General features: G+C 51.2%; 1 protein-coding gene across 4 annotated transcripts in view, besides 4 other annotated features; it reads right to left on the reverse strand.

Annotated features, from left to right (window-relative positions):
* Window positions 101-25,258, reverse strand: part of VPS37C (VPS37C subunit of ESCRT-I) — a 31,170-nt gene continuing 6,012 nt past the window's right edge. For 2 of the 4 annotated variants that reach the window (NM_017966.5, XM_005274077.4), the window contains exons 2-5: window positions 8,581-8,679; window positions 3,880-4,051; window positions 3,099-3,181; window positions 101-2,383 (exon numbers count right to left, since the gene is read on the reverse strand). In NM_017966.5, coding sequence (NP_060436.4) covers window positions 1,664-2,383; window positions 3,099-3,181; window positions 3,880-4,051; window positions 8,581-8,673 — 1,068 coding nt within the window. In that variant the 5' untranslated portion in view covers window positions 8,674-8,679 and the 3' untranslated portion in view covers window positions 101-1,663. Of the gene's footprint in view, window positions 2,384-2,974; window positions 3,182-3,879; window positions 4,052-8,580; window positions 8,680-25,258 lie in introns of all 4 variants that reach the window. The other 2 variants (XM_047427178.1, XM_047427179.1) reach the window with 1 other exon arrangement.
* Window positions 4,601-5,116: an enhancer, noted in NCBI's record as "H3K27ac-H3K4me1 hESC enhancer chr11:60902229-60902744 (GRCh37/hg19 assembly coordinates)". NCBI's record gives its function as "activates a minimal SCP1, AML or CMV promoter by ChIP-STARR-seq in primed H9 embryonic stem cells {active_cell/tissue: H9 hESC(primed)}" and the evidence as "EXISTENCE:reporter gene assay evidence [ECO:0000049][PMID:30033119]".
* Window positions 5,117-5,632: an enhancer, noted in NCBI's record as "H3K27ac-H3K4me1 hESC enhancer chr11:60902745-60903260 (GRCh37/hg19 assembly coordinates)". NCBI's record gives its function as "activates a minimal SCP1, AML or CMV promoter by ChIP-STARR-seq in primed H9 embryonic stem cells {active_cell/tissue: H9 hESC(primed)}" and the evidence as "EXISTENCE:reporter gene assay evidence [ECO:0000049][PMID:30033119]".
* Window positions 6,954-7,454: an enhancer, noted in NCBI's record as "H3K4me1 hESC enhancer chr11:60904582-60905082 (GRCh37/hg19 assembly coordinates)". NCBI's record gives its function as "activates a minimal SCP1, AML or CMV promoter by ChIP-STARR-seq in primed H9 embryonic stem cells {active_cell/tissue: H9 hESC(primed)}" and the evidence as "EXISTENCE:reporter gene assay evidence [ECO:0000049][PMID:30033119]".
* Window positions 7,455-7,955: an enhancer, noted in NCBI's record as "H3K4me1 hESC enhancer chr11:60905083-60905583 (GRCh37/hg19 assembly coordinates)". NCBI's record gives its function as "activates a minimal SCP1, AML or CMV promoter by ChIP-STARR-seq in primed H9 embryonic stem cells {active_cell/tissue: H9 hESC(primed)}" and the evidence as "EXISTENCE:reporter gene assay evidence [ECO:0000049][PMID:30033119]".

The following is a 25,258-nucleotide window of genomic DNA, read 5'->3' on the forward strand; positions in this document are numbered from 1 at the left end:
CAGAGGCCCCTCCAGAGAGCACGATCTGAAGGCTGCAGAAGAGTTCAAGGCACCCACATGCAGCCACGTCTTCACTCAAACCCAGCAACACCACACCACATGTGACTCATCAAAGTTTATTATGGCAATTAATTACACAAACATACAGGCGGTCGGTCATCCAGCTCAGAAGCACTCAAACCAGTAGAGTCCATTAGTGATTTCTCTTTATAAATAACTTAGGAGAAGCAAGCACATTTGGTAAAGAACCGGCAGCGCTGACCTAGCGTCACGCGGATGGCACATAGGCCGGGGAGGGGCAGGCACCAGAAGGTCAAGGTCCCTCCTTGGCCCCAGCAGCCCCGGGCCCACCAGATGCTGCGTCCTCAGGTAGTGGACATTTCAAGGCACGTACAACTTCCTAAGCAATAGCAGCTCCAGGCTCTTCCCTGAGACCTGGTTTACCTCTGGAACAACCAAGTTAACACTCATCACACCCCCTTTGTCTATTGTATTCATTCTTATTACTGAACATGCCCCAAACCCCACAGTGCAGGGGGCTGCATATTAAACAGAGACATAATCCCCACCCTTTACATTCTGAAGACAGGGAGGTGTGAAAAAATTGCCCCTAATGTAGTGATGGTGTTTTTTAAAAAGCACCATTTGGGAAGTAAAGTTAGGGCCTCTTTTGATGCCTGTCTTAGGATGGACACTGGGGGTGGGAGGATTACATCAACAGAGTGAGAAGGGGAGGGGAAGGGAGGGGGCTGCTTGTGAATGAGATTCAAGGCACTAAAGGAGTGGATGGATGCGTGGGCCTCGGGCAAAGTCGCCCTAAAGTGGGGACCCCAGAGGAGAGAAGGGAGGGTGGCTGGGGAGGTGACCTGGCCCTCCAATCCTAAACAAGCCCCAATGTGACCACAATCTCCAGGGCTAGAGCTGCCCGCTTCCCTCTGGCCAGAGGGCCCAAGGCAGCCCCCTGGGTTCTCCAACCACTGCAAGCAAGGTCTGGGGACAACCTTGACAACCCCCAGCCTTCTTGCTGGGCTGGCGCTGCTGCCACTCAAATAGGACATAGGACAAGCTTGTCTGACATCAGCTACTGGAGTTAAATTATGGCTTTATAGGACTCAAACCTGTTGTTTTTCCCAACTCTGTTCTCTCCCTCCAATCCAACCCCTGCCACAGTGCATGGGCAGGCTAGCCTTGAATGGACTGGACAGACACCAACAGCTGCATCCCTTGGCATGGGGCTCCATGTCAAATATGCCAAACCCCAGGGGAGATGGAGGGGGCTGGAGACCCGGGGCCTCCTCATAGAGATAACTCTGCACTGGGTTCAAATGGCCCTGAGTGCAGCCGCAAGTAGATGCTCATAAATGCGCACATGCGCTCACTCACACAGACACCGGCGAGAGGTGCTGGACTCCAGCCTGGCTAGCACCGCTGCAGCCAGGCACTGAAAGGAGGGGCTTCCAGGAGGACCTCTGGCCAGAAGGCCAGCAAGTGCCATGACCAGTCACACCGCCCAGTGCCTTGTCCCTCCAAGGCCTCTGGGTGCCGACGCAAGTCCACAGGGAGCACCAACGCCACTTCCAGTTGACCCTCGAATCTCGGCGATGGCTGGGCCAAAGGTTGAGCGTGGGTGGGACTAGGGAGGGGCCGAGGGCCAGGAGTGTGTCTAATACCCAGGCCAGGCAGGCCCCGGCGGTGGTGGGAACCCATAGGGAGGGGCGGGCCCGGGGGGATAAGGGGGCTGCAGGGGCACTGAGGGCTGGGGCTGGCCTGGAAAGCTGGGGAGCTGAGGCTGTATTGGGTAGGGAGGTTTTCCTCCTGTTGCGGGGTATGGGGACTGTTGAGGATAACCAGGACTGGGGGCCCTGCCTCCCCGCAAGGGGTACCCAGGCCCAGAGGCACCCATTGGGGTCCCAGGATAGCCCGGCCGGGGTGGCATGCTCCTCTGTGGGGACCAGGAGTAACCCGCAGCACCCCTGGGTCCAAGCTGGGCTGCCGGGTAAGTGGGGCCCAGAGGCCCGCTGTAGAAGGAGGGCTGGGACACTACTGGGAAAGGGGCCGGTGGCAGGGCTCCATGGGCAGTGGGGCCCACAGGCAGGCTGGGGGATGGGCTGTAGGGCAAAGGGTAGGGAGGCATGGCTAATGGTGGCTGCGGCTGCTCTTCAACCACAGGGGGTGTTCCCTGGGGGACTGGGCGCACCGGGGGTGGTGGACGGGGTGGAGGGGCATCGCCGGCCAGCTCCTGGGAAGCCCTGGGCTTCCTCACCACTTCCTGGAGCTTTTCCACGCGAACCCGGCGCAGGTGGGACAGCATCCTCATGGAGGAAAAATTCTCCAGGAACGTTTCCAGGGGCACCTCGCCCTCCAGGAACTTCTCAGCCATGGCCTGGAAGACATAAGGTCCAGTGACAACAGGGGCAGCTGGGATCAAGGCCTCTTGATTTTCCCCAGGGTCTGAGTTCAGCTGCAGCCCTCCCACCTCACGCCGCCTCAGGCACCCCCTCCTCTTCCCTGCCCATACGCCCCTTCTCACAGCTGACATATGGTACATGCACTGTCTCCCTCACTAGAATGTCAGTCCCTTGAAGGCGAGGACTGTCTCTGTCGTGGTCACCTCTGTCCTGGCACCTTGGCATCATGCCAGGCCCACAGTGGCCACTGCATATATGTGCTGAACACCTGGATGAGCACTAGCCCAGGGACTGGGAGGGCCTAGAAGCTTCTTCCACCCAGACACAGAGTGGACAGCACCAGTTTGCCCACAGAGGCTGAAGAGGTGGCCGGAGGGAAGCAGGAAGCAGGGAGAGTGGAGTAGGGAGCTGGCCTCAGCCCCTGGGGGCCTCCTGCTGTGCTGCCCTACCATCCAGGGCTGCGAGCTGCCCTTGTCCACTGTCACCCGTTTCTGCTTCAGCTAGTGGGACTGGGTTCCTGTTATTTATACCCAAAAGGCCTCCCCAGGACTAAAGATGTCCTTCACCTCTGCCATCTACGAAAGCTCCCTTGTTCCATGCTTTGCAGACATCTGCTTCTCCTTCCAAGGGCCCCTGCTGCAGGGACTGACACCCCGTCCAGGGAAGAGGGGTGTCGCCTCGCCCTCTCACCTCGGACTCTTCTTCGATCTTCATGCCTTCCACCTGCAGAAGGTCTAACAAGGTCCCTGGCTGCAGTGCTGAAGAAAATTTCTCTGGAAGGGAGGGCAGAACGACTGACATTTGAAAAGTGCTTCCTGATTCAGTGTTAAAGGCACTTTGCATACCCTCTGTGTGCATCCAGGCCCAGCCACCACAGCAGGGTCCACCAAAGGGTCCTTCTGGGTGGGCTTGATGAGCACTTTTGGTCCAGTTCCTTCCTGAGCAGAGAAGGGCCCGAATGAACCTAGCCTAGACCTTGGCCAAGCCTACCCTACGCCATCCTGGGATGGGAAATGACTTGGGCTTCAGAGCCCAACTGACCCAGTTCTGCCTGCCAGCAAGGGGAGTTACCTAACCTGAGTGTCAAGCTTTCTCACCATCAAGACAAGGACCACCCTCCCACCTTCAAAGGTGACAGGTCCTGGGACACAGAGAGCCCAGAGCAGCTCAGGAACAGCTCAGTAAAGCATAGAAGCTGAGCTGCCAAGGGTAACGGCAGCAGCAAAGGATGCAGGCTGTCTCAATTCAAATCCCAATTCCACCTATTTCTAAGCTGGGTGACCTTAGTCAAGTTATTGAATCTCTCTGAGCCTCATTTTTCTTACCTATAAAATGGAGTAACAACAGTACCCACCCTTCTATGGCTGTTGTGAAAAAATATACATAAAGCACTTAGCACAGGGCTGGGAACACGGTGGGCCTCCGTCCAACCCTGAATGGGGACCCTGAGTTCACAGAGGAGCCACCCTACCCAGCTTTGCCTTCTGCTCCTGGCACCGCTCCACGAGCTTCCGGAGCTCCTGGTATCTATCCGAGAGGTTTGAGCGGCTGATCTCCAGGGGACCCTGGAACTCCAAGTTCCGCTCTGCCAGGCTCCGGTTGGTGGCCAGTGCCATCTCCCGTTCCAGCTGTAGGTCCTGGACCTAAAAGGGCAGGACAACAGAACCTAAGGAAAACGTCCATCACCCTTAACCTCCTGGCAGCCTGGGTCAGGGGCTTCGGGGACACATTGCTCACCTTGGGGCGGAGAGGCTCATCCTTGGGGCAATACTCAGCCCTCAACTAGTCAGACAAAGCCAGGTTCAAACCCTGAATGAAGTACTCTGCGCCTCACTTAATCCTTAACCCACAGCCCACGAGGTGGAGACGCATGGGAACCTGGCGCTGAAGGTGAAGAGCTCGCCCAAGGCCATGTGATTGATATCCATGATGGAATGTGCAGAGCCCCAAGGAGGGGGTGGACCAATTTACATGAGAAAAAGCAGAGGCTTTCCAGGAGGGAGGGGATCAAAAGTCCCAATTACTTATCCCCAAGCTTCAGAGTCAAGAGACCTACCATGGTGGGCTCAGGTGGTCCTGGCCAGATGCACAGGCAAGACATATAATGAGGCCCCAAATAAAGTTATTGTGAGGGGTGAGAGAGCCAGGTCCCTGGACCAGACCATGCCACTGACTTAGGAGAGACCTGGACCTGCCTCCTATGCCACACATGTGTCCTGCAGAGAAGCTGCACAGATGAGCCAGAGGGGCCACCCTGGACATTCCCTGCTGCAAACACTTCCCCAAGCCAAGCGGCACTTTACCCCTCTGCCAGGCTCTTCGTCGCTGCCAGCCAGTGAGACAGAAGCCAAGGCACCCTTGCCAGCTGTTGTGATGTGACGCCCCATGCATCCGCCAAGGAGTCCTCTTCCTAAGAGGAGGGCTGAGGAGTCAGACCTGCATGCTGAGCCAGCAGTGACAGTACACTGTCAGCAGCATGGGGCACCAGAAGAGAGGCCTCGGCACCCGCCACAGGGCGCAGGGAACAGCTCAGCAAGACTGACTCTAAGTCAGGCCCTCACTGTGCAGCTTCTCTGTGCAGCTTCTCCACCATGGTCAGCATGTGACAGACCAAGCCAGACTGGCTCATGCCCCACGAGACATAGGAAGCCCGTGGGCATTCTGGAAGAGGCGGCCTCGGGGAAAGGCTACCCCTTCTGCTGTCCCAGCTACAGGGGCCGAGGTCCTGCACTCTGGGGCAGGCCCATTGCCTCTTCTTTGTGCTCCAGATTGGAAAGAGGGATACCACAGCTTCCTGCCCTCCCTGAGCCCTCCAGACAAGGCTGCCAGGGTTCAGGGATGTAGGGCCCAGGGTCTGTCCAGCCTAGAGCCCACGCTGCTGCCTTCTACAGACATGGTCTCATTCTGTCGTCCAGAATGAGTGCAATAGCATGACCATAGGTCACTGCAGCCTCAAACTCCTGAGCTCGAGCAATATTCCCTTCTCAGCCTTTCCAGCAGCTGGGACTACAGGCATGCACCACCACGCCTGGCTAAGTTCTTTTATTTTCTGTAGAGATGGGGTTTCCCTACGTTGCCCAGGCTGGCCTCAAACAATCCTCCCATCCCATCCTTCCAATAGCTGGGACTACAGGCACAAACCACCATACGTGACTCTCAATCTAATTTTTATTAGCCATGGAAACTTTACTTACATGGCTGACCCAGAGTGAAAGGCCTAAAGCCCTCCTGCTCACCCATCCCTTGCAGGGCCCCATGGATCCTCTGGCCTCCCTATAGGTCCACTGCCTTTTCCCTGCGTCTAAACCAACAAATCGACGCTGTATCATTTTCCCCTAAATCTTGCCCTACTTATTTCTGCTCCCTGTCTCCACAGCCTTCTTACATCTTTCTCCACGAAGTGGGTCAATGGGTAGAAACATATAGGTAGATAGAAGAAGTAAGTTCTAATGTTCAACAGCTGAGTAGGGTGACTATGGTCAGCAACAATGTATTGTATATTTCAAAGTAGCAAGAAGCGTAAAATGTTCCCAACACACAGAAACAACAAATACTCAAGGTGATGGAGACCCTAAATGCCCTGACCTTAATTACACATTTTTTTTTTTTTTTTTTTTTTGAGACAGAGTTTCGCTCTGTTGCCCAGGCTGGAGTGCAATGGCGCAATCTCGGCTCACTTCAACCTCTGCCTCCTGGGTTCAAGCGATTCTCCTGCCTCAGCCTCCCTTGCTCCCTTGTAGCTGGGACTACAGGCACGTGCCACCACGCCTGGCTAATTTTTGTATTTTTAGTAGAGATGGGGTTTCACCATGTTGGCTAGGCTGCTCTCGAACTCCTGACCTCAGGTCTTCCACCCACCTCGGCCTCCCAAAGTGCTGGGATTACAGGCATGAGCTACCGCGCCCAGCCTGATCATCACACATTCTATGCATGCAACAAAGATTCTCATCTTCCCCATAAATATGCAAAATATGCATCAATTTAGAAAATTGCATATCGATGCATATTAGGGGTTCAGTGTGAAGTCCTCCCAGTCACTGAAAAGAGGTAAGACTAAAAATAGGTAAATAAAAGATGTTTTCACATGTTTTGCTGCTTCTGAATTCAATCTGCCCTAGTATATTACTTTGGTGGAAATAAGGAGGAAGAATCTATACTCATACAGATATATAGCTAGAAAAGGAAGGAGTCGCTACTAACCTTTATAGATAATTATCAATTTTCTTTGAATCTACAGCAAAACTCAACAAGAAGTATCTAATAGTTCTTAAAAGTTGCTATGTAAAATTTAGAAATTAGCCAGGTGTGGTGGTGTGCACCTGTAGTCCCAGCTACTTGGGAGGCTGAGGTGGGAGGATTGTTTGAGTTCAGGAGGTGGAGGCTGCAGTGAGCCATGATGGCGCCATTGCACTCCAGCCTGGGTGACAAAGTAAGACCCTGCCTAAAAAAACAAAAATTAAAAAAAGTTGCAAAGTGGGAGATAAAACCATTTTGACTAACTTTCCTTAATAAGTTACGGTGTTTCCCTTCTATATCTGGCCCCCAACCCAAAGCAGCTCCCCTCCACACACCCCTCTATGCACACTCTTCTACACGGAGAGAGCCCCTGCCAACTCCCTTCTCTCCTAGCCGTGTCCATGTCCCGAACTAATAGAGAGCTCCTGTCTCTTCTCACAATCCCACTGTGACTCAATGACTGTCTTATAGCCCACGATAAAAAAGTTTGCCAATGGTCTGAAGTCTAAGTGGCTTGTCCTGCTTCATTTCTACCTGATCCACGAGTGTTTTTTCCCCTCAGAGAGTTCAGATCGATGGGACAGGTGTGGCTGCACACCACAAAATTCAAGTGCCTTCTGCCCAAGAGGTCGCTTCTGCTCACATTTTCCATGATTCTCTGCTTTGTCACGATTCTGTCAGCCTGCTCAGCTCTGCACACTCTAGAAGCAGGCCTTGGGCTTCCCATGGCACCATGCTCACAGTGCTTAATATGTGACAAAGGAACGCAGGCAGAGCTGCACTGTGCCCAGCACCAGGCTGGGCAGGAGCAACGCCCTGGCAGAGCTCACAGCCTCACAAGCCATTTGAGTCAGCCCTGGGGCTTCGACAAGCAAGCTTTGCTCCACGTCCTTGCTGAGGACTAAAAAAGCCCTAGGGTGGTAGGATGTGGCCCATGGTGTCCACCTCTCCTCACAATCTCCCCACCAGGAGATCTTTTCAACCCAATGTTCAGTCACCTCCAACCCCAGTTAAGATTCCTCACTTAGGCAGTAGAGCAGGCAGCAGGCAGCAAGAGCACAAGCAGAAACAGGAGCAGGGGACTCACCGGCCTGGCGCCCCCCATGGCATGGAAGCACGGAGACACTGGATGGGGGAACGTCATTATTTTTTTCAAAATACAAGTTCACAGAAGAGACACACCATACCTGCTCATCCGTGCAAGTAAACATGTACTCCAAATGCAAATCAAAGGAGCTGGCATTGCTTGCGTGTGTGTCTCTCCCTCACATTAGGTATAGGAAGCGGGAGCTTCCAGCACAACGGATGAGCTGCAGCCACTCAATGGGTGACCGTGGATATTTCTGGCTGTGTGGCCTGACCTCTCCCATCTCACAGGGGACATCCCAGGGTCACAGGAGATGCTAGGGGCAGGGAATGTCCTTTATTAAGTGTAAATCTCTGCACAGGCAGGATTCTGTTTCTTTCCTCAAGGAGTCTGTGATTAAGAACTAGAGGATTAGGGGCCAGTTATGAGGAGAAACAGGATCAAATGGGAGACGAGCTAGATCTCAGCCCAAGAATGGCTCCTAGAAGCCTTAGAGTCACCTGGAGATATGGGATCGCACAAGGCTCTTGGGGAAAAGTGGGTACAAAACCATACCAGTGCTTTGAGGAGCTGCCTCCAGATTTGGGCTGGAACGACAGTGTGGGGACTCCTGGGGTATCTGGGTCCTGGGAAGGCACCAGGAGGCAGTGGACTCCCCAGCACTCCCAAGAACTCCCAGGAACTGGTCTGAAGCCTCAGGGATTCCTCTGAGTCCAAACCAGGATGAAGTTCACAGAAAAGGGAGATGAATTTGGCCAAAACTTCCAATAAGCCAGCATCCTTAAAAAGCGCCTCTTAACAAGCCTCATCTGCTGGCCTCTGTTGGGTCCCATACCAGCCTCCCTCTACCTCAGGGGACTCCAGGGCCAGCTGGTCAATCGCCTCCGAGTCATTCTGCAACTCCTCCAGCTCCTGCAGGGTCTTATCCTTCAGCGTCTCCATCCTTCCCTGTGAACACAGTGACACCAAAGTAACGAACAGGCAGCCCAAGACGAAGGGACCCCCGAGCCTGTACATATGATTTATCAAAAACAAACTGGAGTTTTCCTGCGATAATACCACTCCACCGGGAGGCTCGAGGAGAGGCAGAAATCTCTGAGAGCACATTCCTGCGGCTCAGCCCACCCCCTCCCCAGGGAGATCAAGGAGCTGCTCCCTCCACCCTCTCATGAGCAACAGGATATGTGAAAGTACTTGCAGCCAGAAGCAAAACCACAATCCTCGGGTGCTAGATGGAGCTCCCCAAGGAGCAGAGAGGAAAAGGCAGGAGGAGAGGGCCAGGCAGCAGGGATGGAGACTAAGTTTGGCCCAAGGCTGCCCGCAAGCACTGATGCCATCATGCCCTCTGGTAGGTGTCTATTTCTGTCTGAACCAGAAATACACCAAGCTCCACACATGGGGGCTTTGCTGGCTTCGACATCACTGGTTCAACTATGTCACTGCTTGTTATATTTAGTGCTCCAGAAACCTCAGGTTTCCCTCCAGAATTCCCCTTAACTGCAGCCCTCTCCATGTGCCACCAAAATGGACTGTCATATGCGCATCCTCATAGAAGCAGGAAAAAAAAAAAAATCAGCCATTTGGCCTAGCAGGCAATCAGGAAGGAAAGAAATTGACCGACCCAAAGAGGACATCGCTTTGACAGAGAGCTAGTGTCAGCGGCCCTCTCCCTGTCACTCTGCCTAGAGGGCCATCGATTGTCTGTGTGGTAGATGGGTCACAGCCAGGCCCAGGAGGGAACCCCAGGGACTGAAGAGAGGAAGCACAAATACACCCGGCACCTGCTTCCTTTCTGCTGACAGGGTCCTCCATTTTCATCTGGTTTGTATCTCTTCCAGAGGTGCATTCCATAGCTTTTTTTTTTTTTTTTTTTTGAGACATGGTCTGGCTCTGTTGCCCAGGCTGGAAAGCAATGGTGCAAACAGGGCTCACTGCAGCCTTGATCTCCTGGGCTCAAATGATCCTCCCACCTCAACCTCCCGATAGCTGGCACTATAGGTGTGCGTTACCACCTCCAGCTAATTTTTAAATTTTTTGTAGAGACAGGGTCTCACTATTTTGACCAGGCTGGTCTCGAACTACTGGGCTCAAACAATTCTCCTGCCTTGGCCTCCCAAGGTGCTGGGATTACAGGTGTGTGCCACCATGTCCAGCTCCATAGCTTTAATGTTGTTTTTTCTCATCACAAAGATTATGTTAGTTTTCAAAAGATTCCAGCACCACAGAAATCTAGGGTCCTCCACAGCCCACCTGCACCAGCACTCAGCTAGGGTGAGCCAAGGCTGACAACCCAGCTGAGAAAGCGTTCTAGAATCAAGGACCAAGGTTATAGCTGTGTGGTCAGATGCACCCTTCTCCAGGTCTCAGTTTCCCCATTTGCAGTAGGAAGCGAACGGCATCTCCTAGGGCCATCAGAAAGGTAAGAGGAGGACTGAGAAACGACCACATGTTCCCATGTACCAGGAAGTCCCAGTGCACTCCTCAGGGGACCCTCCCCCCACCCACTCAAGGGTGCCCTGGTTTAAACAACAAATCATATGGCCACTGATAAAGAACTATCCATACAGGGACGAGACCAGTATTTGTTATGTCTTGAGGGTTAAAAGTGGCCCCCAACCTCTAAGCAGGGATTGCCAAACTTCAGTGTGCACCTGAATTCCAGCAAAGCTCACTGACCATACAGGTGGCCAGCCCCTCCCACAGAGCTCTGCATTAGTAGGTCAGGGCAGGGCCCGGAAATCCGGAATCCCTCCTGGAGAGACTGACACAGTTGGTCCAGGGCCAGATTTTGAGAAGATGACAGCTCTATGCCAGTCCTATCACAGTGGAGACCCCTGGTTTCTGAGTACATGCAACGTCAGTTTTCCCTGAGCTGTTCTCCCCTTACAAGGAGAGGTAGCAGCAGCCATGTCATATGCAGACAGGGTATCAGAAAGGTTACAGTCACAGCCAGCAAACAGCAGAGCCAAAATTCAAACCTGCATTCTGTCCACACCTCACCTTACCGCTCCAAAACCCTTGGTCTAAAAGCCCCAGAGCCAGGTCGGACACGGTGGCTCACACCTGTAATCCCAACACTTTGGGAGACCAAGGTAGAAGGCTCATTTGTGGCCAGGAGGTCAAGACCAGCCTAGGCAATATAGCATCTGATTGTAAAAATTGTAAAATGAAATAAAATAATGAAAATAAGTAAAAGCTGGGCCAGGTGCAGTGGCTTATGCCTATAATCCCAGCACTTTGGAAGGCCAAGGTAGGCAGATCACCTGAGGTCAGGAGTTCGCGACCAGCCTAGCCAACATGTTGAAACCCTGTCTCTACTGAAAATACAAAATTAGCCCGGCGTGGTGGCACACACTTGTAATCCCAGTTACTCCGGAGGCCCAGGCACCAGAATCACTTGAACCTGGGAGGTGGAGGTTACAGTGAGCAGAGATCATGCCACTGCACTCCAGCCTGGGCAACCGAGCAAGACTCGGTCTCAAAAAAAAAAAAAGAAAAGAAAGTAAGTAAAAGCTAGAGCTAGAGCAGGGAAAGAGCAGCCTGCAGATGGCCTGGGCTGGAGCAGAACCCTGGGAGGAACACTGGCAGCACACCCCAAATCCAAACCCAAATGAGCTGGCCACAAGCAGAAGCAACATTGTGAAGATACCGAAACACATCAGGGGCACAGGCTCCAGCCAGCCAGAGACAGTTCAAGTCCAGGCCCTGCCCCTCGCACAGGTGGAACCTCCCTGAGCCTTGAATTCTTCACCTGTAAAATAAGACTCACAACAGCCCCTCCCTCACAGGGCGGGTGCGAGGTCCAATGGGATAGCACAGGCGGTGCTGGCTCGGTGCCAGGCCTGGCCTGGAACAGAACTTGCAGGGCCACAGCAGCTGCACCCATATCGGCTCCACCCAAGGGGAGGCCCACCACTGAGCATCTGCTCACTCCTGCAGTCAGGGCTGAGCACTGCAGGTGCAGCCAGGTGGAGGATGGAAGCTCTGTCGCAGGCAGCTAGCTGACCACACACAAACAGCACAGTCAGCACCACCATCTGTGAAAGCACCCAGCAGGTTCAGGACTCAGTCTCATACACGGAGGTCTCCACATGTGGGGAGGCCCCGAGAAGAGCCGAGATTCCCTGGGACAGGCACCAACTCCCCTCCAGCTGCTTACCACAGGAGGTGCCACCAGATGTTTGACAAGTATCACTTTTAATAAGGTAACACAGCCTCCAACAACACATCGCAAACTTTTGGGTCTCAGGACCCCTTTTCACTCTCAATGTTAAGGAGGACTCCAAAGAGTTTTGTTTATGTGGATTATAGCTATCGGTATTTACCATGTTAGAAATTAAAAGTGGAAGAAAAATTTTTTTTCAAACAGGGTCTCGCTCTATCGCTCAGGCTAGAGTGCAATGGCATGATCTCAGCTCACTTCAGCCTTAATCTCCCAGACTCAAGCAATCCTCCCACCTCAGCCTCCTAAGTAAACCGGACTACAGGCATGTGCCGCCACACCCAGCTAATTTTTTCAAATGTTTTGTAAAGATGGGGTCTCACTATTTGATCCAGGTTGGTCTCAAACTCCTGTACTCAAGTAATCCTCCCGCCTTGACCTCCCAAAGTGCTGGGATAACAGGTGTGAGCCACCACACCCAGAAGAGAAATTTTTAAAATACAAGAATACACAAACACTACCTTCCATTAGCTGCCAGAATGATGACATGATCATGGGTCATGCAGCCTCTGAAAACTGCACTGTACACTCATGCAAGAAAAGAGAGTGAAGAAAGAAAATAATGTCTCAGAATGATTATGAAAACTACTCTAACCTCATGGATGGCCTGAAAGGGTCTCTGGAAACCTCCAGGAGTCCCCCTGAAACACACTTTGAGAGCCACTGGTCTAGAGGTTAAGAGATGAGACTCTAAGGGGTGGGGGGAGGGGGGGAGGGGTAGCATTGGGAGATATACCTAATGCTAGATGACGAGTTAGTGGGTGCAGCGCACCAGCATGGCACATGTATACATATGTAACTAACCTGCACAATGTGCACATGTACCCTAAAACTTAAAGTATAATAAAAAAAAAAAAAGAATAGCTAAAAAAAAAAAAAAAAAAAAAAAAGAGATGAGACTCTGGGGCCAGACTGCCTCGGTATGAACCCATCTCTGCCACTTACTGTGTCATCTAACCCCTTTGTGCCTCAGTTTCTCAATCTGTAAAACAGAGCGGCGTGCGGAACACAGTAAGTACCACTAAGCATTTGCTGCTATGAGGACCCTGGCAACCATCTTAGACAGTGGGCGTCAATATCACCCCCACCTCACAGGGGAGGCTGGGAGAGGTGACGTTACTTGCCCAAGGTCATGCAGTTTGGAATGAAAATGCCTTTTCAGGTCCAGGGATTCTCAACATGTGCCTCATGGAGTCCCTGAGTCCTAAAATCCTCCTCCAGACCTAGAACTCTAGAATCTCCAGGATTCTTAATTTTTTTTTTTTTTTTTTTTTTTTTTTTTTTTTTAGATGGAGTCTTGTGCTGTCGCCCAGGCTGGAGTGCAGTGGCACAATCTCAGCTCACTGTAACCTCTACCTCCCGGGTTCAAGCAATTCTCCTGCCTCAGCCTCTTGAGGATTACAGGTGCCTGACACTAGCCTGGCTAATTTTTGTATTTTTAGTAGAGATGGGGGTTTCACCATGTTGGCCAAGCTGATCTTGAACTCCTGACCTCAAGTGATCCACCTGCCTCAGTGCTGGGATTACAGGTGTGAGCCATTGTGCCCAGCCAATTCTTTTTTTTTTCTGAGATGGAGTTTCGCTCTTGTTGCCCAGGCTGGAGTGCAATGGCACAATCTTGGCTCACGGCAACCTCCGCTTCCCGGGTTCAAGTGATTCTCCGGCCTCAGCCTCCCCAGTAGCTGGGATTACAGGCGTGCAACACCATGCCCAGCTAATTTTGTATTTTTAGTAGAGACAGAGTTTCTCCATGTTGGTCAGGCTGGTCTCGAACTCCTGACCTCAAATGATCCACCTGCCTCAGCCTCCCAAAGTGCTGGGATTACAGGCGTGAGCGACCACGCCCGGCCGATTCTTAATTTTTTTTTTTTTTTTTTGAGACGGAGTCTGGCTCTGTCGCCCAGGCTGGGGTGCAATGGCGCGATCTTGGCTCACTGCAAGCTCCGCCTTCCTGGGTTGACGCCATTCTCCTGCCTCAGCCTCCCGAGTAGCTGGGACTACAGGAGCCACCACCACGCCCGGCTAATTTTTTTATATTTTTAGTAGACACGGGGTTTCACCGTGCTAGCCAGAATGGTCTCGATCTCCTGACCTGGTGATCCACCCACCTCGGCCTCCCAAAGTGCTGGGATTACAGGCGTGAGCCACCGCACCCAGCCAATTCTTAATTTTTAATGAAGTTTTCATTTTAACTAGGCTACCTGGGTCTGACTAGTTTGGCATCTATTATCTTATTTTCCCCTTTCCCCAACACTCTGGGGGAACTCAGGGGGAGGCAACCCCATCTGACAGAGGAAAAGCAAAGACCCCAGGGGAGGAAGGGCCTTGTCACCCAGTCACCGCAGAAGCAGGAGGAGAACGCAGGCAGTGTTTTTTCTATAGGGTGAGCCCCCCCAGGACCCCAAGGGCACTTCCTAAGGCTTGGCTCTGTGTGGGCACGGCGGGACAGGTGACACCCAGGTGCACAAGACAGGGGTCTTCATGCCAGGATTTAGGCTTCAGATTTGCAGTGACGTGACAATGCACATCACAGAGGGAGGCAGCGTCACATACGGTCAAGACCAAGAGGCGGAACGTCACGGCCACAGCTCATGAGACGAGTGCCCAAGCTCTGGCCAGCTCGGCAGGGGAGATTCATGTGAAAACAGTGCCTGCCACGATGTCAAGCTTCTAACGGGCCAGGAGTCCCCCCTACACGGAGGCTGAGTCTGGGAAGGAGACCGGAGGCCTCCACCAAGCTGCTACCTCCTCTGCTCATGGGGCTCCCATTTCAGAAGGCACTGCTGGCATGTGCCAGACAAACATGTCCCAAATGAGGAGTGCTCAGGACCTTACTCCCAACTTTGCCAAATAGCTGGAGGCCAGATGTTCGTTTTGGGACTCAACTTTCCTTATCTGTAAAATGGGCAAACAAACCCTTACATGGCTCTTTTCTTCTGAAATCAAAGCCCTCTGTACTATCACACTGGTCTTTAATTGAAACAATAAATAAAGAGATCAAAGCCCTCTGTAAACTCTCCCGTTAATTTACATAACCTCTCTAGTATGTAAAGCCAGCATGAGCTTAAGTGCCTCCTATTTCAGAGATAAAATGAATCCCAGAAAGAAGCAGGAAGGACACTGCCCCACTGTGCGGGTGTTTTCATCTCACCAACATCTTTGCCCCACCTGCTCGGCAGGCCCATCAGAGGGGTGCAGTGAGGATAAGGTGTTTAGCCATAAGGCCCGAGATCCAGAGATTAGGAGCCCACGCAAGCACGCCAATTATCCCATCCCTCCCTGTCCCTGCCTCCGGGTTGGGGACGCCCACCTCACCGCCCTCATACAGCATCTCAGGCTGGGCAGGCAAGTGCCACCTTGTGGGGTTTACCACAGCATCACCCACCCCTGGAAATGACAGGTCCCTTTCTCTCACCAATGCCACAGCCATCACCTGCTCCTCAGAGCCATCAGCGAGGCTGGAAGCAGCAAGCACTTCCCTGGGTCCCTAATATGGAGAAGGGAGAACAGGAAACTCTTTTGCCCACAGCCCACAGAGCTGCTAAGAAGGTGCCCTTGAAGCTTGGTCATCCACTGCTGGTGGTGTCTGACTCCATCACCCAACGCAAGGGACAAGTCCAAAGTGACACTTCTCAGAGTGACCCCAGCCACCGCATATGTCTCAAAGTAGAGAACTAGGGGGTTCCTGAGATGTCCTTCGGGGACCCAGAGTCCATGGGCTTTTGTTTCTGGAGGGTGTGACGAGTCCAACTACCTGGGCCCCTCAGTACCAGAGCCCTGGCCCAGAGCCCCTCCCCCTGCCAAGATGCCCGGGAGGATGCAGCACTGCTCTAGTGACCCCCAGGGTTTGCTGCGCACGAGTAGGGAGTTGTTGAGGGTGAGAATAAATCGACCCCTTGAAGACAAGGAGAATGTCTCACTCATCTTCGTCAACCCAAGCCCAGCAGACTGGCTGTCAGATAGCTCACAATAACGTTTGCCCAAAAAGTGATGGAGACAGGAAGGAGAGAACAAGTCACTGAAGACGTGGGGACAGAGAACGGGCATTCTTCCCCTTACCCCCGCCTGCTCGCATTTCTCCACTCCCTTAATGAATCAATACTTATGAAGCAATTGCATTTGCCAAGAATACTGTGAGACCCACATCAAAGGAGGAAGGATAAATGGGGGCAGCAGGATGTGAGCAAATATTTGGGGGGTTCTTACTATGAGCCAGACATGGCATTCACAGGTAAGAGCTGATCCTAACTCTCAAGTAACTCAGTTTCATTTTAAAAAGTCAAAAATACTCACAATAATTCATCATGAATACAGATGAGAGCAGCGTAACAGAGGCAGAGACCAACAGAGTGAGGAGGAGAGATGGGCCGCTCTGTGGGCCTGGAAAGCTTGGCCACAGGGGCCTGCGCATGCCATGCCAGGAGCAGCACAGCCCAGGCGGGAGCCACTGCAGATCCAAGGGGCTGGGAGGGGAGGAGGAGGGAGGGCTGCGGGGCAGGCGGCTGCACAGGTTCACAGGTACAGCAGAAAACACCTTTTCTGGGGTGATATCATCAACTCGAAAGTGATCTGGCTGGGAGGGAACAAGGTGAGAAAGCTATGCGTGAGCCAGTCTGCGTTCCTTGCACAGAGAAGAGGAACAGTGCCCCTGGTTCCTCACTACCAGCCCCTGAGAAGGAAGAACACTTGCTTTTGTTTTTTCCTTTTGCTTTTTAAAGTTGTCTCTCTGCAGTTTTCACCCCCACCAGAGGTCCCAACCCCAGTGGCCTACAAAGGCCAGGCTGGTAGTAGGAGGCCAAGCGACAGGCAGAGTGTGTATGGCTGGAAAGCGGCCCTGGTGATTCTAGGCCCCTCCTGCAGCCTTGCCAGCTTTCCCAGACCCATCAGCTCTCCAAAGGGAAGCCAGAAATCTACATCTAGGTGCATCTTCCCATTTTTAAATTTCAACTCAAAGTTGTGAGAAACTGGGTGGGCCATCAAAACCCACAATTCAGGTGTGACCTGAATTGATGCCATATCCTCTATGGGAGACAAGTGCAAGGGTACAGATCACAGAAAAGGGGGTGGGGCAGAGGGGAGAGGTGATAAAGACATCCCACAAGAATCCTGGAGCCCCACCATTTGCCACAATGCACTGAAAGGAGGTTGGGGTGGGGGCACAGGCTGAACTCGCTGGAGCTTTGCTATCAGAACCAAGGAAGCAGCATTTCTGGGTGCAGCCGGACCAGCCAACTGGCACCTGTTGCTTTGATCTCTGGTCTCAACTTCTTTCCATTACTTTATATCTTGACTAAATCGATCCCACAGGTCTTGAGCACAGGGTACACGATCTGGTAAAAGATAGCACAGGGCCAGTGGATTTACGCCAAAGGCAGCGCCACGTCCCCAGCAAGGAGGCCACAGAACTTCCTAGCAGACCGGGGTGGAAGGGGAACTCTGGGGAGGGTTCAAACTTGGGGCAGCCTTCCAGATCTGTTTTTATCGGGGAAAAAAAAAGTCATGCAATGATGGTTTTCCTCAACAAGCTAATCAGCTCAAAAACAAATCGTTTCCACTGATCAGAGATCCTTTCCAAGGATAACCTTCAACAAAAAAAAAAAAGCTGGACTGCAAAATGCAGCATTTTCTAGACAGTGAGGGCACTGAGATGAGAGTGTGGCATGCCAGCCCTAGAGACAACTTGCACTGCCCCTCACCCCTTGCCGCTAAGTGGTTCATGCCAACTCTCCCCCCAGATTGTGTGTCTGGACAGAATTCTGTCCTGTGCAGACATGGAATTTGAAAACAGATGCCTTGAGTTTGTGCTTTGGCTCCACAGCTCTTTAACTGTGTGACCTTAATCAAGTCCTTTAACCTTGGTTTCCTTAATGGGGCACCATGATGATAATCCCACCTTAGGGGTTGCTGTGTGGCTCAGATAAGCGAACAGCCCAAAAAGAGCTTTGCAAACTCCTGAGCACTGAACAAATATAAATTATTCCACCTCCTGGCGTTACTCCTGCAACCCCTGGGCTGCAATCTTGTGTCAAGTGAAATGGCTGCTGAGATCGTGCAGGAGGATTCCAGCCTCCACCAGCTCCAGCACCTGGGAGCTGAAGCACGGCTCCCAGCACTCCCCTCGCCTTACCAGACAACACTTACTTGCCAGTGACCTCTAGCCCGAAATCACACTGCAAGAAGAGCTGTGACGTCCCTTGGTTTCTTACAAATTCCCCACATCCACCTATGGTACCAGAAGAAGCTGTTACCAGGGCAACTTGCAAAGTCCAACCTGCACATGTTAAAAAGGAACTGGCCCCATCTTACCCCGTATGTCAGAAACACCTGCTGTTGCCTTAGAAACCTTCCTAATCATGCTGCTGAATGAGGAAATATTTGCAGGCCTAATCTGGTTTTCTTTTCCCGGAATGATTCCAGCTGTGCGTCCAAGTACCAGACTCTTTTGTTTCCTGACTTCCCACAGGAGGTTAAAAAAAAAAAAAAAAAAATCAAATCATCAAGTTCTTCTCACCTGATCCAAAGCAGCACTGAACTGACTTTCCCCACAAGTGGAAAAGTTACAGTGTAAACCATGGAGAGGAAGGCGTTTTTAGTTTTCATTTTTTTGCGTTTTTAGTTTTCTTTTTTTTCTTTTAAGAGATGAAGGACTCGCTCTGTCACTCTGTTGCCCAGGCTAGAGTGCAGGGACGCAAAAGTAGCTCACTTCACAGCCTCAAACTCTTGGGCTCAAGCAATCCACCTCACTTCCCAAGTAGCTGGGAGTCCAGGCCTGTGCCACTGCCCCCAGATGGCTTTCATCCTTTCTAAGGAATTGCTGGGGTTGGGGCTGGGTTGGGGTTGGAGATTCCTCCCACCCACCAGGGATAAATAGTTAAGACTACGTGAAGAGGGGCCAGGCGCGGTGGCTCACGCCTGTAATCCCAGCACTTTGGGAGGCCAAGGCGGGCGGACCACGAGGTCAGGAGATCAAGACCATCCTAGCTAACATGGTGAAACCCCATATTTATCTACTAAAAATACAAAAAAGTTAGCTGGGCGTGGTGGCACACGCCTGTAGTCCCAGCTACTCAGGAGGCTGAGGCAGGAGAATGGCGTGAACCCAGGAGACGGAGCTTGCAGTGAGCCGAGATCGCGCCACTGCATCCCAGCCTCGGCGACAGAGCGAGACTCCATCTCAAAGTAAACAAACAAACAAAAAAGACTAAGTGAAGAGGCTTTGGAGATAAAAACTCCTAGATTTCAATCCCATCCTGACCTTTCACTAGCTATATCACCATGGGCACATTATTCAGCCTTTCTCTGTTTCTCATTTGTAAAATGGGGCTAATACTACCAACATCATGGGGTTGTAAGGATTAAATGAGAATTAAACAAGACCACCAAGCAGCAGGTCTGGCACCAGGCAGTATTAATTCCCACTCCCTCACAACTTATTGTTAGGAAATGCTGCCTGTCAACTGTGCCAGGCGGCCAGCTAGGTCTAGAACCAGAGGACTCTGAAAGAGCTGATCCTGGACGGAAGCAAAGGATGTGGCTCCAAACAAGCTCCAAACCAATCTAGACAAGAGTCCTCAAACATAAGCATACATAGGGGGAATGTACAATCTCTCATAGGGAAATTGCTTCATGAAGGAAACTGTCATCTTTACATAAATATTTACATAACAACTGAATGCTCCTCAATCCACTGAAAAACTCCATCTGACCCCCCTTTGTCCAGAGGCAGGGCCGTCAAGTGAGAAGACTCAAGAATAATAAGCCCATTCACTGTGCCAAATGGTGGGAGGCACCCAGAGTGGCAGAAGACTTCAGGAAATTAAGCCACTCAGCCGGCTGGGAGGCTCTATCAGCACGCGGCAGGCTGCAGAGCCCAGCACTCACACCCTGCCCCCTAGGTCGCTGGCTTGGCTTTGCTGACCCAGTCCGTCCCCTAAAGGGACTCCTCCCGAACCTGCTGAACCTCCACACACACCTGCATTCCAGCATTCCTAGATCTCCACTCCTCTCACTCTTCAACCAGACTTTCCCCCCAGCTTCCGTTTCTATCAGTGACTTCAGCTCCTGGCCCTGACTTCCAGGTCAGCTCAGACATGTGGGTCCCCCCCACCCCTGATGTCCAATCACCAAGTTTTAGCTAGTCAGTGTTCCAAAGGCTCTCACACACACCCATCCCTGCCCTATGCAGGCTGCAAACTAGTCTTCCCATCTCCAGGGTCTCTTTCTCACAACCATCCCACCAGGCTCCCCGGATGAATGTGTCCTATCATGCTGCTTCCCTAAGGCTGGCTGTCTTGCCCCCCTCCTCCCCTCACCGCCCCCACCTGTCAATGGGTGGCGGCGGGAGGGGTCAAGTAGCCTAACCAGTCTGGACAAGACACCTCCCTCCTCTGCCCATTTGCCCAGTTTGGCCTAATCCTGTCACTTTCAACCTTTTTCAAAGGAGTTTTGTTTTTTTTTTTTCCAAACAGAACATTTAATCCAAACCCTACTGCACAGAACACTTCACAACACATATGCTCTGGGCAAACAGGTCGGGGGGAGCCCTGTTCTCACAGCTCAGTTTCCCCCTTGACCTAGAGTTGGCCCCTGAGACCACCGCCCTAACCCCCTACCCCGCTGCTCCCAACCCTCACCAGCCCCTCCCCTGGTCCCCTCCTCCACTCCCTTTCAGCTGTGATGTCTTGCCAGCAGCGTAGAGTGTGGGGAGTCATCAAACCAGGCCTTACCGCCTCCTGCCCAGTTGCCCTCCAGAGCCTCACTGTTCCATCAGTGTCAGGAACTGTGACAGGCCCTGCGTCTGAGGTTTAGAGGCTGCTCACAGTCCAGAGGCTGGCCCGGGTGTTCCGTACACAGCAACTAAGGTAATCCTCACCGCTCCTAAGCTGCTGTCCATCCTCAGGCTTTTCTCATTTTAAATAGGAGAAAACTGAAGTTCTGTGCCTGCCCACAGTTTCCCAGGGAGGAAACGCAGAGCCTGAACTGCAACAGAGCCCGTCCAGCTTCACGGCCCACGCGCCTCACTGTGCTCGGCTGCCTCGATCAAGTCTATCTACATCCACAGAACACCAGGCCTGGCTCTGGGGACCAACTTCATCAATGGTCATCGGTACGGATATCTTCAACTAGACCCCTGAAGAGTAGGATCTGTTCTATCTTGTTCAGAACCCAGCATGATGCTGTCCTAACAAATACTAAAGTGGTAACTACTCTCCTTCACCAGCCCTCAGACTAAAGTCCAAACAGATGTACCGGCCCAGGAGCCCCGGCAGCACAGGAGCAGTGCCTCCTTTGAAACTCAGCTCTGCAGGGGAGACCCAGGGATTAAAGGCTCTGAATCTGTAAGGCAGACAGCCCTGCACTCTTGCTTACTGTCTGGGGAGACCTTGGGTGGGTAATTTAAAATCTCTGTGCCTCAGTGTCTTCTATAAGATGGAGCTTTTGTAAGGAGGAATTGAGTTTCATGCCTAGAAAGTCTAAAGTCTGGCTCTCAGGCAGGGATCAATAAACAGTCGCTCGTGATTTCTATCACTGTGGCTGAGGGCAGACACTCAGCCCATTCTTACTTCTGCAACTCAAGCACTTCCCGTGTCAACGCAGGACAGAGAATTTAAGATTCCTCCAGAGCTGGCATCAGTCAACAGAGGAACATAACTCCAAAGGCTGGATGTAATCAGACCAACAGCATTCAGCGTCAATCAAAATGACGGCCAAGAAACAGGTGATTTAATAGGTAGCCGGTTTTTGAAACTTTCTGACAGTAAAGCCAAGCCACTCGGCAAGGCCTCTTCTTTCTTTGGCCCATGACTGACTTGAAAAGGAAAACATACTGACTTCACACCAACTTCCACTTGTATCTCCTTTGTCCCTACTGTTCAGATGACTCGGAAAGGATTTCAATCTGCAGCTGTCCATCCTCCCCCAGCCCACTTCTAATCTGCACAGAGCAAGCTGAGCAAGTGGATTTAACTGTCCCTTTAAGGAGGGATCAAGAGGAAGGTCAAGGCAAAGGACAAACATCCAGGAGTGTGCACCGGTCATGCAAGGTGTGTCTGTTCAAAGCCCAAGATGATAAGACCGCTGTACTCACTGAGGTTTGGCCATCCTACGCTGACATAAAGTGGGGCAGCTGCAGACCCTACCCCTGCCAGTGATAAGCCAGACCCAGAACTTCCGGGTCCAGTGGAATCATCCACAGGCAGACAGGTATAGCCACAGAAAAAGAGAAACCAAGCCAGGGCCTTCTCAAATCAATTCTTGACTCAGGCAGGAATCCACGAAGGCCATTATCAAACAAAGGGTGGCAAAGCTGTATCCATGACCACACTGAGCTCTGGACTCATTTTCATCCTTGTACAGAAAGTCTGCCCTAAGCCCGCCTTGGCCCTCTCCAGCCCTCTTCTACACCCCCCAGTAACCTCGAGAGAACACTATCAGAGCTCCCATGGCCCTCCCATGGCTCCCCAGCATTTGGTATTATGTTCCAAATCTTGTGCTCCTCAGCTTGGTATACAACGCCTTGTATCAGCTGACCCCGAGCCTCTATTTCTCCATGGGTTGCTCACTCCATCCCAACTCTTTCTGTTCTACCTACTAGTCCCAGAACAAAAACCACACTTCCAGTCACTTGACATATATTGATCTCTAAACAGCAGTAAGACAGGGATCCTGCCCGGCAAGGAATTCGCAGCACAGGCTTCTCCGCCTTTGCTCTTGCTCTCCACTCTGCCTGGAATACTCTTTCCTACACTTTCCCCATGTAGAAAATGCCTGCTCCATCCCTCAAAAGCCAGCAACTCTCTAAAGCTTTCCTTGCTTCTTCCTCCCAAAGAGTTCATCCTGCCTTCCATGGTACTCTGTACACAGCACATAGCATTTCTTATTTAGGAATCAGCATGCTTCTCCAGCAAGAGTGTGAGCTCCCCAAGGGCACAGCCCATGTCGTGTTTGTTTCTGCATCCCAGCGCCTAGGTCAACACTGGGCACATATAAGGTGATATGGTTTGGCTCGGTGCCCCTGCCCAAATCTCATCTTGAATTGTAATCCTCATAATCCCCACAGGTGGAGGGAGGGACCTAGTGGGAGGTGATTAGATCATGGGGGCGGTTCCCCCATGCTGTTCTCGTGACAGTGAATGAGGTCTCATGAGCTATGATGGTTTTATAAGTGTTTGACAGTTTATCCTACAGACACTGTCTCACCTGCCGCCATTAAGACGAACGCACTTCACCTTCTGCCATGATTGTAACTTTCCTGAGGCCTCCCAAACATGCAGAAGTGTGAGTCAATTAAACCTCTTTCCTTTATTAGTTACCCAGTCTTGGGCAGTTCTTTTTATTATAGCAGTGTGAAAAAACGGACTAATACACCAGGCATCCAAGGAATGCTGACTGGACAGGGACTTCCACTTTTGGCTAATGTGGAGGGAGAGGCACTAGATTTATTCTCCTGCCACAAAAAACTAAAAAGCCAGACAAAGCCAAACAAAACACATAAAATGATAGTTTGTAAACACTGGACATCAGACAGCACAGACCCCTGACAGTGGGAAACAACCAAGGTGAGTGCTATAGCTGCTCCAAGTTACTCCTAGAGGGACTCCGGGCCCAAGACACAGGCAGTGGAGGAGAGGAATTCACACTCCAGGGAGGCCAGGGTAGCCAGAGTTCACAGGGCAGAGTACCAGAGAGGAAAGGGCCACACAGAGAACCCAGAAACCTACAGAGGGTCCCCCTCCAGTTCTCAGCTGGTACTGATCTATACCAGTCCAAGGCAACAATCCTTGGAGCTCAAACTGAAACAGAAATAGTCTTGCGTGCCCACCAGCCACAGTGGAAAAACCTCATCATTCACAGGACATTGGTAAAGCACTAAGGACAGAATTGCCTTGGTAGTGAGGAAAAATCAGGCCTGGGCCTAAGGCTGTTCTGATTCCAACTAACAAACCTTGAGAGCAGCTTTAAAGAATCAAACTGTTCCCAAGTAACTTAACAGTGTCCTAAAACAATGCCAGGAACATTTCTAGAAATACAAAAATATCCAGCACCCCACAAGGTAAAATTCACAACATCTGATATACAATAAAAATTACCAGACATACAAAGAATCAAGAAAATAAGACTCATAATGAGGGAAGCAATAGAAACAGACCCAAAAAATACACAGATAATGGAATTAGTAGGCAAGGACATTAAAACAGTTCCTAAAACTATATTCCATATGTTCAAGAAGCTAAAAGAAAGATTAAGCATGTTAGAGACAGGGAAGATATTTAAAAGACCCAAATCAAACTTCTAGAGATGAAAACTACAATGTCTGTGATAAAAAGTATACTGAAAGGTAATATCAGCAGATTAGACAATGCAGAAGAGACCAGTGAATTTGAAGAAAGAGCAATAGAAACTAACCAGAACAAACCACAGAGAGAAAAGAAAAAGGGACTACTGGGAAAAATGAATGATCAGAGAGCTATGGAGCAACCTCTAGCACCCTTACATACATGTAACTGGAGTCCCCGAAAGAGAGGAAAGAGAAAAGGGAATAAAAAAAATATTTGCAGAGTTACTGACTGAAAAATTTCCAAATCTGATGAAAGCTATAAACCCACAAATCCAAAAAACTCAATGAACCCAAGCACAAAACACACAAAGAAAATTACACTACACAAAAGCACATCATCATTACATTGTTTAAACTCAGTTAGAAAAGCAGTTAGGGCCAGGCACAGTGGCTCACACCTGCAATCTCAGCACTTTGGAAGGCCGAGGTGGGAGGATCGCTTGAGCCCAGGAGTTTTCGACCACCCTGGGCAACATAGTGAGACCCTGTCTCTACAAAAAATAAAAAATTTGCCTGGCATGGTGGCACACACCTGTGGTCCCAACTACTTGGGAGGCTGAAGTGGGAGGATCCCTCGAGCCCAGAAGTTTGAAGCTGCAGTGAGCTATGATCACGCCACTGCACTCTGGCCTGGATGACAGAGTGAGACTCTGTCTCCAAAAAAAAAAAAAAGGCGGGGGGACAGGGAGAAAGAAAAGCAGTTATAAGGAGAAAAGATACATTACAAACAGAAGAGCAAAAAATAAAAATAAACAGACCAGGTGTGGTGGCTCATGCTTGTAATCTCATCACTTTGGGAAGCTGATGCCGTAGGATCACTTGAGGCCAGGAAGTCAAGACCAGCCTGAGCAACATAGCAAGACCCTATCTCTACAAAAATAAAGAATAATCATTAAAAAACAACTACCCAGGCATGGTGATACACACCTGTAGTCTTAGCTACTAGGGACCCTGAGGTGGGAGGATCA

This window comes from Homo sapiens, chromosome 11, assembly GCF_000001405.40.
Source record: "Homo sapiens chromosome 11, GRCh38.p14 Primary Assembly".
Classification (NCBI taxonomy): domain Eukaryota; kingdom Metazoa; phylum Chordata; class Mammalia; order Primates; family Hominidae; genus Homo; species Homo sapiens.